The 12,588-nt window shown below is 41.5% G+C and overlaps 1 long non-coding RNA gene across 1 annotated transcript in view, besides 1 other annotated feature; it reads left to right on the top strand.

Annotated features, from left to right (window-relative positions):
• The window catches only part of LOC124901944 (uncharacterized), a 49,354-nt gene that overhangs the window by 22,706 nt on the left and 14,060 nt on the right, over positions 1-12,588 (top strand). The gene's annotated exons all lie outside the window — the stretch shown is intronic.
• Positions 12,032-12,091: an enhancer, noted in NCBI's record as "active region_27343". NCBI's record gives its function as "activates an Ori minimal core promoter by ATAC-STARR-seq in GM12878 lymphoblastoid cells {active_cell/tissue: GM12878}" and the evidence as "EXISTENCE:reporter gene assay evidence [ECO:0000049][PMID:35858748]".

Consider the following 12,588-nt stretch of genomic DNA (forward strand, 5'->3'; position numbering starts at 1 on the left):
TAGAAATTAGGATACCATTGATGAAAAATATTTTACGTTTTCGTTTAGGGCATGTACTAGGATAGGATGGGTGAAATATTTTAGAGAGTGTTTATTTCCTTCTGGTATAATTTAGGATCAGAAAACCAGCAAGATATCTATATCTATATCTATATATCTATATCTATATATATCTCTATCTCTATATCTCTATCTCTATCTCTATATCTATATCTATATCTATATCTATATCTATATCTATATTTTTTTGAGATGGAGTCACTCTGTTGCCCAGGCTGGAGTACAGTGGCACGGTCTTGGTTCATTGCAACTTCCACCACCTGGGTTCAGGTGATTCTCCTGCCACAGCCTCCCAAGTACTTTGGATTACAGGCATGAGCCACCACATCCAGCTAATTTTTTTTTTTTTTTTTTGAGACGGAGTCTCACTCTGTCGCCCAGGCTGGAGTGCAGTGGCATGATCTTGGCTCACTGCAAGCTCTGCCTCCCGGGTTCATGCCATTCTCCTGCCTCAGCCTCCTGAGTAGCTGGGACTACAGGTGTCTGCCACCATGCCTGGCTAATTTTTTGTATTTTTAGTAGAGACAGGGTTTCACTGTGTTAGCCAGGATGGTCTTGATCTCCTGACCTCTTGATCCGCTTGCCTCGGCCTCCCAAAGTGCTGGGATTACAGGCGTGAGCCACAGTGCCCGGCCTAGCAAGGTATTTTTTTTTTAAATGTGGGCAGAACATAGAGAACTAGGGATTTGGTTAACATGGGATTTAAGTAAAATACACCATTTCTCCAATTTTGACATCTAAAAATTATCTGCATTAAAATATTTTTAAAAGTGCAATCATATTCAGTGCTAGTATTGCGGGAACAAAACACATTTATATACAACTATCTTTGTTTTTAGCTAGTGTCTTCTTCAGCACATACTACTATCTTTTAAAAATTAATTTGTAAACTAATCTACAAATCGTGAAAATAGTGTTAAGCTTATTGTCATTAATATGTTGCTTAATCTTTGTGTTTTAAATATATAAACAAGGTGTTTACATTAATTATTTTTCTTTTAGCACATCAAACTTAGTATAGTAATATGGATAAACCCTGATTTGTATAACTTTTAAAATAACATTTGGAAAGATACATTACATTCCTTAACAATATCTCGCTGATATTTTTTTTTTCAGTTTTCAAATTAAGAGAAAAAATGAAATGTGACAACTGAGAAATATGAAAGAGTCTATTTACTATAAACTAGTTTACAGATTGAGTTAAAATAATGAGATGAGGAGACTTCTGGCAGACACACAGGACTTGTTTACATTTTGATTGCAGTTTAATAATTTGCTGATTGCATTATAATCACAGCAATATTGCATTTTAATCACATGCATACATGTGGTTAACTAAATTAATACCTTTAAATCACAATTTGATTTTTGCTAATACATAACCAGTTCTTTTTCTGTCCCTGCTCCAATGAGGATAATAACCAGTGAGCATGGTTTTGGATCAATTCTTTTTGGTAAACTCCCTAGCCACGTTCTGCTTCTTGCCTACTAAAGACATCATCTTTCACACAAATGTGGAATAATGAATAATGCTTCATAGAATAATATATAATAAACTGGAAGCAAGCTTCATTTAGCATAAACCTGCAATATTCTTTGTGTGACTAAAATCCACAATTACTGGAGCAGAGAATTGCCCTGCTCCTCTCAAATTGTGTGCCTTTCCTTCACGGTGCTGAGGCCGTTTGGTCTCAAGTGGGCAAGTGGTTGGAATGAGTCCTTGTAGAAGGGGGTCACAGGACAAGTCACAAGACCTTTTAGAATCTGCAAACACTGTTGCAAGTTTTCAGTGTACCCCTCTCTCCGTTAGTCAAGCATGGACTCATTTTTAGTAGAAAAAATTACAAGAAGGCAGAAAATTATTCACAGTCCCACTGCCCAGATAATCTCTGTGCCATTTAAAAAATAAAACATGGGGCCAGGCATGGTGGCTCATGCCTATAATCTCAACAGTTTGGGAGGCTGAGGCAGGCAGATCACCTGAGTTCAGCAGTTTAAGACCAGCCTGGCCAACATGGTGGAACCCTGTCTCTACAAAAATACAAAAATTAGCCAGGCATGATAGTGGATGCCTGTAATCCAGCTATTCGGGAGGCTGAGGTGGGAGAATTGCTTAAACCCGGGAGGCGGAGGTTGCAGTGAGCAGAGATCGCGCGACTGCACTCTAGCCTGGGTGACAGAGCGAGACTCCATCTCTCAAAAACAAAAAACAACCAAACAAAAAAACACGGGAAATACATGAATGGTAGAAAATTCAAAAAGTGTACAAAATAATTTGTAGTGAAAAGTAAATCCTTTGCATTTCTTTTCACCTCATTCTTTCTACAAAGCCAGTGCCTTGAGGTCGTTCGAGGACATTTTTTGTGTCTTTCTAGCAGGGTGAAAGGATGATGCCCCTGGGATGCTGGAGGCAGGGAGGCAATGGGCTCAAGCTTTTTTTTTTTACCTCCCTAAGCTCTGGGTGTGGGATGCAGAGGCCTTGGGAACAGAGCAAAGACTGAGGAAGGGTCTGACTTAGGGTGTTGGGTGGTGCAAGCATGTGGAGGGGTGGCTGGAGGGAGAAGGTGACTCAATACATTGAGAGTCATCAGAACAGACTGGTGTGGTATGAACCCTGAAGTAGGGACCAAGGCTGGAATCACACACCTAGAGACACAGTGGATGAAAGGCCTCAGAGAAAACCATGAGGACAGGATGCAATATGTTGACCTGGTGGTAGGCTTCCTATGAATCTCAAAGCCAATGAGGCCAGGAAAAAAGACAGGAGAGAAACCCTGAGAAGGGACTGTAACTGGAGTTAACTTGAGAGCGATGGGGTTAAACAGAAGCAATCACATTGGCAGGCAAGATTAAATTATTTCCACCATCAGTAGAAATGTGTGTTTCAGAGCTAAGTTAACTTCTTTTTTTTTTTTTGAGACAGAGTCTTGTTCTATCACCCAGGCTGGAGTGCGGTGGCACAATCCTTGCTCACTGCAACCTCTGCCTCCCAGGTTCAAGCAATTCTCCTGCCTCAGCCTCCCAAGCAGCTGGAATTAATAGGCGTGTACCACTATGCTCAGACAACTTTTGTATTTTTAGTAGAGACGGGGTTTTGCCATGTTGGCCAGGCTTGTCTTGAACTCCTGACTTCAGGTGATCTGCCCGCCTCGGCCTCCCAAAGTGCTGGGATTATAGGTGTGAGCCACCGTTCCCAGCCTAAGTTAACTTCTGTAATACAAAAACATTGTTTTAGTTCTTTATATTTGAGTTATGACTTTCATTAATAACCTTGTTCTACTTGAATTTTATTACTCAATCCTTACAGCTTTAGGCAATACAATTTTTTTTTTTTTTTGAGACGGAGTCTCGCTCTGTTGCCCAGGCTGGAGTGCAGTGGCGCGATCTCCGCTCACTGCAAGCTCCACCTCCTGGGTTCACGCCATTCTCCTGCCTTAGCCTCCTGAGTAGCTGGGACTACAGGCGCCCGCCACCGCGTCCGGCTACTTTTTTGTATTTTTGGTAGAGACGGGGTTTCACCGTGTTAGCCAGGATTGTCTCGATCTCCTGACCTCGTGATCCACCCGCCTTGGCCTCCCAAAGTGCTGGGATTACAGGTGTGAGCCACCACGCCCAGCCTAGGCAATACTATTATTTCATTTTTACAGATGAGAAAACTAAGGCTTAGATTGATGAATTGACTCAAAGTTATATAGCTAGTAAGTGATGCACCCAGGTTTTGTGTTCAGATCCCCAGAGTCCAAAGTTATTTTGCCCACTGGATCAGTCAGGGGACTGTTAGGAAGTAGAAACCACACCATTACTTTAGGAGAGAGAATCTATGTAACAACTGTTAACTAATACGAACAACTGGTGAGGTGGACACTAATTTTTCATAGTGGCAACAACTTCAGAAAGCAGCTACTACCTTTTGGGCTGAGGAGAACAAAGGGAAGTGGTTTGAATCAACAGAACTTAGATAGTTGGAGAAGGGCCTCTGCAGAGTTAGGCCTCCGTCTGAGGGCACGTGAACAGGCTGGGCCTGTAAGTCCACTAATGCTGTTGAAACAAACTACCACAGCCAGTGTGAGGGAACATTACTGGCTGCCAGGAAGAGGAGGCAGAGGCAGGATAGGCAAGAAACAGGAAGTGGTGTCTCCGTTCTTCTTCCTTCAACCTCCCGGTGGGTCACCCTCTTGCATGCTTAGGTTGCTGAAAACTGACGTGGAGCCAGTGGCCAGAATATAAATGTGCTCTGCAGGATCCTAGCACAGTTAGAAGGATGGGTTCAAGGCTGACAGTACATTGGTAATTGACATAGTCAATGCACACTCCTTTCCACACATTTTTGGATTTTCATACAATATCCAAAACAATTCCCTACATCTTCCTAATTAGCTGCAATTATCCTTAGTACAACGACTTTCCCAATCTCTCCTCCAAACAAGGACACACAAAGTCCCAATAGTTATAGTCTGTATTTCTAGACACTGTTAATCCTATTCAAATTCAGTCCCAAACCTATGTGAATATTCTGTTACCTAAGCAGAAAACTATCATGCTAACTATCACCACAGATTTTGAATAAAAAATAAAGGGAAGGAGAAGAGAAAATGAGTTAATGCTGCTCTAGTCCTCTGACTTTCTTTTTCTACTACTTACTGTATGTTTCCTTTGCCCTCTTACAGGAAATGAACTGATTGTGATATTTTACCTGACAGAACGACCCAAACCTTCTTTGCCAAAGTTTTTGAATTATCAGTGGTTCTGCATTTTTGTAGTAGTTGTTTTTGTTGCTACAATTTTCCTGGAAATTTTTAAACTGCGCATGGATATACTAAGAAGCACTCATAAAAGCCCCTTGTCTTTCAGACATTAATCCATTTTGCCCCTATGGTGTAGGAGAAACCCAATTTCTTCTTGATAATCAGGATCGAATAACCAGAGAAGTAGCCTCCTTCTTTGCCTATTGCTTCAGTAGCATGAGGATTCCAAAAGGCCAAATGGTGTTCTCTACTTCCAGTTCAATGGGGCTATCAAAAGGCCCCTGGTGAAAGAATTTCTGACATGTGAACCAAAACCTCTAGACTAGCAGAACTCAAAGTTTCAGTAATGGGAAGTGAAATTTTGTGAGAGGGTTATTAGGTGTTGTCATTGGTTTTCTTATCCTGATAGAGAATGTTTCAAAGGCTTCCACTAGGCCTTTCCTATCATAATGGACCTTGCTCCAAGGGTCAGAAGGTCAATGTGGGTATTCTGCCGGTTGTTGAGTGTGTTTATTCCAATGACAGATTTAGCAAAAGCAGGAAAATAAACTTTTAGGGCTTCTGTAGAAGCTTTTTTTGTTCTGTGATTTTGAGGGTTTAAACACCTGAGTTGTGCGTCTTTTCTTTTCCATATTTTTATCTTTGAGAGGGGGTCTTGCTATATTGCCCAGGCTAGTCTCAAACTCCTGGGCTCAAGTGATCCACCCACCATAGCCTCTGGAGCAGTTGGGACTCCAGGTGTGCAGCCATGTCCTGCCCAGTCATTTTCTTTCTGTGAGCAATCCAGGGCACTTAGAGGAAGATATTCCAAATCATGGTCTTTGTAGAATTCATTCCTGCAAAATGCCAATGGCAGCAGCCACTTGATCCTGTGGTCATTAATTACTCTCAAGCACAGGTAACTAGTTATGCCTAATCAGGATGCTCCTATGGGCCTGGGAGGACTAGCTCCTCCTCCCAGCAGGGAGGTCAGCACCATGCTTGGGCCCTAGTCACAATCCAAACCATGCCTTTTTGGGGTATACTTACTGGGACCACTTACAGCACAAATTTCTATATTTTCTTTAGAGTCAAATCAAGAGACAGAACCACACAAGTTATTTTAGCAGATAATTTAATACAAAGAATTGCTAACCAAGTATTGAAGGACAGACAACTCAAAAACCCAGACATCACCGAGGTAGCAACCTCAGGAAGCAGATACTATCCCTAGGGCTGGTGGAACAAGAAGTTGGAATATTTGAAATTTAGAAGCTTGGAGACCCACGGACCCCAGAGACACAGATCTCTGGGACTAGGATGCCCTTTGGCTGATGCTGATGTAGACACTGTGGGGCTGGGACCTTGGCTTCTAAGGAGGGACTGCCTGGTGGCTGATGTTGTTGTATTTTATATATGTGTATATAAAATATGTGTATGTGTATATATATTTATACAATAGATACTTTTTTGGAATCATTTCAAAATAAATATCAGACATCATGATATTTATGCCTAAATACATCTCTCCTATTCTCCTTTTACATTATTATTCCCATCTACCCCAAATTTTGTATTTATTCAATAATATTTAATATCCAGTCCATATTCAAAGTTATCCAATGGTTCATGAAAATCCTTCAAAGTTCTTTTTGTTTTTTAAAATTCAGGACTCAATAAAGTTTCCCTTCTTATAATTGGTTGCCCTGTCTCCTCTAGACCAGCTTTTCTTTTCCCTTTCTTTTTTTTCCTTTCTTTCTTTCCCTCCATCCCTCCCTCTCTTCCTCCCATCTTCCCTTTGTTTTTTATGACATAGACTTTTTGAAAGGTCCAGACCACGGTTTTCATTGAATGTCCCAGTTTCTGGATTTGTCTGATAGTTTTCTCACGATTAACTTTGGATTAAATATGTAGGGGAAGAATACAAAATCAATAATGTTGTATACATTCAATGGTAGCAATGACTCCCAGTATATCAAAACTATCTACCTGAAGTGGTACATACTAAATGACACTGTCGCTTTCCAAAATATAATATAATAATTATAGGCATTGGTCAGGTACTAAACTGGGTGCTGCACATATACTATTTGCATTCTCAAAACAATTCAGTAGGCATTATTTATACAATTTTACATATAAATACAGTGTTAGAGATGATTGCTGCCCAACATCCATTTTCTTCTTCTTTAGCAGCATAATTCTGATTATATTTGTAACTGACAATGTACCTAGTTAAAAGCCTAAATCTCTACCCTCTCTTATTTAGCTAGGTGAGGTCATGTGACCACATTCTGTTCACTGAGATGTAAGTGAATGTATTGTTTGAGATTTCTGGGAGTCTATTGAAGGAACTTAACTGGGCTTCTGACTGTCTCCTTTTTATTCTTCCTGCCTTCTGGACTATGAAAGTGGTAGCTCGAGCTCCAGGTGCCATACTGGACCATGAAGTAATTTTAAAGATGGAAGTCACTGAACTCAGGATTTAAGGGTGAAAGGGCAGAAAGATGGAAAGTCTCAGGAGGGCAGATAACTGTGGAGCTTATATGTAATAGAAATACATGTCTATGTTATTTGTCACTGCCATTTTGGATTTTCCTTTATATAACCAAACATAATCCTGATACAGAATTCCAGAAAAATTAAATACATTGCCTTAGGTAATGCAGTTTGTGAGCAGCAGATCCAGGATTCAAGCCTAAGATACAGTCTTCCTGTGCATCTCATAAAAATAATGCAGCAATGAATAATAACACATAATATATTCATACCAATTCATACCACTTCATTGATTCAGCACACTCTAACAACTCCACTGGCAAAGTTTATGGTACCTAAATAAACTAGCAAAAAACTATGTTACTTTATGTGAGCATCAAGGCAGGACAAGACAATTTTTTCAAAGTTCAAACAATCCATCATCCAGATCACAGATTGATTAAAATCTGTTTTAATCTCAGCAGTGAGCTTTATCGGCAGCAAGCTTCCTATAGTTGCAGTTTCTGAAAGAATACAGCTGTAGAAATCTCTAGAAATGGGGAGCTTTTTCAGGCTACTGCTGATCCAGTCCCAAACTGTTGGGGAAGCTCTGTGCCCACGTGGCTGAGGCCACGCTCGCTCTGCTGGCCTGGGTGCTGCTCTCTTCTGGGAGAAGCTGCTGTTGAAGTGCACGGTGGCTTCATGGCACATGCTGAGAAAGTAACCCTAAAGGAGCTAAAGAAAACTGGCGTCTTTTCTCTGAATTCATGATCCCCATGTTCTTTAGAGTTTAAAGCAGAATAAATTTTTACTGATTCACTAGCCTTGATTTTATATTTTAAACAATAAAGTCTAAATAAATAATGTGGAAGGACCACTTGTTAGAAAACATAAATCTCACCCAAAATGATAAAAGAAGTTTGGTTTCAACCTCTCTGAGACCATTGTCATCTTTTTCATTTACACATTCACTTTAAGCCATCTTAGGTATTTGATGATGTTTTAATAATTAATACAGTAAATTAGTCTAATTAAAATAATTATAACCTAACAAATTAAACTTTGTATTTTGTTTAACACTTAAACATATATTGGTGAGTTAGATAATGATTAACAATTACACCACTAGGGCCCTGATTTAATTAGTATTCTCTTGACAGGTACAGTTGCTAGGTGATAAAAATTAGACATTTTGTCATTTCATTATAAATTGTCATTATAAATCACTTAATGATTTCAAAGAAAAAGACACTTCCCTTGGTCCCATATGATATTATGAAGTCCCTAAAAGAAGATTTGCTGTTCAGAAAAGACAAACTGAGTGAGAGATTTTGTATGCTAACCATTCAGTTCTTATTGACTACTTTAACATAGTAATAAGGTATAATAACTTTGAGACTAACTGTAGAGGCATTTCAAGGTGAAGCATGTGGAAATGAGGGGAAAAGCCATAGGAGGCTGGGAAGCCACAAGGGGACTGATGCAGCCGGAAGGCTGTGCATGTAAAGTGTTCCTAATGATGTCATCATGGAGTCACCATCCAGCCCTGGAGGGTTGATGATCTCCCTGAGGTTTGTCCAGGCAGCATGATTGTCCCTGGGCTTTGGTAACCATATGGTAGACCACCTAACCTGGGACACTTTTGAGAATGAAAAGGGGCCCCTAAATTCTAAAAATTTTATAATTTTTGAAATACCAATTGATTAACCAACAAATTGGTATTATTATAGGGACGGGCTCATAACATTACTTTACATTAACAACTATTACATTAACAACTATCTTCAAATATGAATTCTAAAAATAGTACATATGTATGTATGTTAAAATATTTAAAACTACCTTATATTGATGATATCATTAAAATAATACAAGCAGAATCATTATTCTTGGTATATATTCAAATGTTTAAATTAATGTTTTAGACATTTAAAAAACACTATGGCACTGGTATTTTTCTGAAACTTTTTTTTTCACTCTGTGGCCCAAGCTGGAGCGCAGTGGTGTGATCTCAGCTCACTGCAACCTCTCTACCTCCCCGGTTCAAGCGATTCTCCTGTCTCAGCCTTCCGAGTAGCTGGGATTACAAGTACGTGCCACTATGCCAGCTAATTTTTGTATTTTTAGTAGAGACAGGGTTTCACCATGTTGACCAGGCTGGTCTTGAACTTCTGACCTCAAGTGATCTGCCAAGCTCGGCCTCCCAAAGTGCTGGGATTACAGGTGTGAGCCATCAGGCCTGGGTGAAATTATTTTTTAATGTAGCTTTTATTTTAAGTTTTTAAAAATAAAATTGCCTGCAGTCTTTTTCAAAGTTGCATTTAGAGCTAATAAACTTGAAATTACTGGTACTTTCCCCTGACTTCAGTCTATGGACCATAATAACTTTTAGTTGAGAAAATTCTCTACAGATTTTGAAGCACTTAGCCTAGGGTAAATTCTGACAAGTAGAAGATAATGTGTTTGGGGATGATAATACAAAACATTTTTGTCGGAGGCATGGTAAAAACAGGAATCTTACTAAGTCGAGAAAGCTGTGACATAGAAAAGACTTGGATTTGGCTGTGGTGCAGACATAATTCACAGTTGTGTCCACACCAGCTGCAGTGCTGTTTCAATCTACAGAAAAGCTGCAGCTGTCAGAATGCACACTTATTTGTAAATACAGCAGTTTCTGAGCGCAATTTTCTTTAATTTGCAAGTGCCTGCAGGTGTCTGTAAAAGGGAGGTGTGAGTACTACCGCTTCTGGCCAGGGTCAGGGAGAGGCAGGTGCTGGCAGAACCAAGCATACCTCAGTTAGCCTCTGTTGTCACACGTGTCTCACACACTAGTAGCTGACTGAGCAGGAAGTATGGAGTGCAGGTCCACAAACCCATTCCAACTTCTTTTAATGCACCTATTAGTACTGCTTTAATTTTTTTTTTTTTTTAAACCCAGTAAAAGTGTGAAACTGGGTGATTTCTTAAGGGCACTGGGCATCATTCTAGACTGTTCTGGCTGCCGCAGGACAGATGGCCATCCCTCTCGTGCTCTAGATCAGTGCTCTTAAGTAGAAAGAAAATGTGAGCTGGATATGTGGTATTATTACATTTTCAGGTAACCACATTAACAAGTAAAATAAACCGGTAGAATTAATTTCAGTATTTTCCCAATATATCCAAAATGTTATTTCTAATGTAATCAACATAAAAATAGTTAATGAGATATTTCACATTCTTCCTTTTTGTGCCAAGTTCTTCAAATCTTTTGTGAATTTTACAGTTATAGATCCTCTGTTTGGAGAGCCACATTTCAAGCCTCAATGACCACCTGCGGTCAGTAGCCACTGCACGGGGCAGCGAAGTTACAGATGAGAAACGTGTATCGTGCATGTTCACCACAGCACCTGAAATTGTACAGCTCGTAAGAAGCAGAGTCGTTTTTGAGCCCAGGTCTGATGACGCCAAGGCTGGTGTCTCACGCCTGTAATCCCAGCACTTTGGGAGGCCGAGGCAGGCAGATCACCTGAGGTCAGGAGTTCGAGACCAGCCTGGCCAACATGGCGAAACCCCCTCTCTACTAAAAATACAAAAATTAGCCGGGCGTGGTGGTGCACGCCTGTAATCCCAACTACTCAGAGGCTGAGGCAGGAGAATAGCTTGAACCTGGGAGGTGGAGGTTGTAGTGAGCCGAGATCGCACCACTGCACTCCAGCCTGGGCGACAGAGCGAGACTCCATCTCAAAAAAAAAAAAAAAAAGAAAGAAAAAAAGAAAAAAGAAAAACAAAGAACGGATGAAGTTCAGATGAGGTCCTATGGGTGGGACCTAATCCAGTATAATCCAGTATGACTGGTGTCCTTATCAGAGGAAGAGATTAGGACACAGACACACACAGGGAAGGCTGTGTGAGGACACGGGGAGATGCTCTTTACCGGCCATAGAGACAGGCTTCGAGAGAAACCTCCCCTGCCCTCACCTTGGTTTTGACCTTCTAGCCTCCAGAATTATGAAGAAATAAGTATCTGTTGGCTTAGTCCCCCAGTCCTTGATACTTTTTTTCCGGCAGCCTTAGCCAGCAAGTGCATGTGGCACAGGCTGAACTGCTCCATCTGTTTCCGGACCGCGCTCTGCTTTTAGGGCTGTTCATCTCAGACGCCCTGCTTCCCGGGTAGGTCTGACCTGCTGGCACATTTTCACTATTTATATTTCCCTTCTCTGAACTCCTTTTAGACTTTCATTATTACACCCAACCTACGAGACAGATTCTGTCACGATTTCCATGACTTTTGTGAGGTCAAGGGGCAATAGTACAAATTAGAAGGTATAAGTCAAGCTAAAAACTGTTTTAAAATGCCTGTTCTAGCCTCATACCTTTCCAAATAGTGAGGGAGTCCAGGCATGACGTTCCAGCTCTGGGCCTTTCTGAGTGCCCCTCTAGGATGCGGTGGTGGACCGGGTGGTCTCGCTTTCCGCTAGCCGCGGCTCCCTCCCGCACCATTGCAGCCTGTGACTCTCAAAAGCTACCGCTGGGCCAGTCCTCCTCGGACTAAGGATACAAATGGGGGCCAAGCCCAGCCTCTGGGGCATAGGCCCAGGAAGAGGAGCAAAGGGCCCTGGGGATGCGCATGGGCAGCTTGGGAAAGGAATTGTGAGTCCCTCGTAGCTGGAGGGTGTGGAGGGGACACCCTAGGACGACTTAAGGGGCAAGGGCCATGGCCTGGACCCATCTTTCCTGCATGTAAGGAAAGCGCTGAGCTTCATTTTAGTTTTCTTTACAAGTAAACTGACAGGGACTTAGCTCTCCTTTAGCCATTCGCTTATTATTCCAGCAATTCCCCAGACTGACTTGAGTTCTATTCACCATAATTGGTTCAATTCCATCGTTGTAGCAACATTCTGTTCTCTTTTCTAGCAAGTATAAACCCTGCAATTGCACAGCCCCAGGCACTGCCTATCTGCTTATGGTAAGGAAGGAGATTTCCCCTCTGCAGGGGAGCAGCACCTGCTCTTCCCCGCTCGGGGCTCAGCCACATCCTGTTCCAGCCCTGCCCTCCAGCGGCGCTCAGATGCAGCTGCCCTGCCCTCTGCTGGACGCCTGGGCACGGGCGCACGCACTTCTCCCTTCTCCAACTGACTGAAATCCAGGCCCTCCTGCAGTGTACTTTTACTCACTTGTTAGGAAGGAAAAGTGGGTTTACTATGGTCTGAATATTTGTGTTCTCTAAAAATTCATATGTTGAAACCTAATCCCTGCTGTGAGGGTATTGGGAGTTGGGGCCCTTGGAGGTGATTGGGTCATGAGGGTGGAGCCCTCATGAATGGGGTTGGTACCCTTGTGAAAG

This window comes from Homo sapiens, chromosome 8 (genome assembly GCF_000001405.40).
Source record: "Homo sapiens chromosome 8, GRCh38.p14 Primary Assembly".
Classification (NCBI taxonomy): domain Eukaryota; kingdom Metazoa; phylum Chordata; class Mammalia; order Primates; family Hominidae; genus Homo; species Homo sapiens.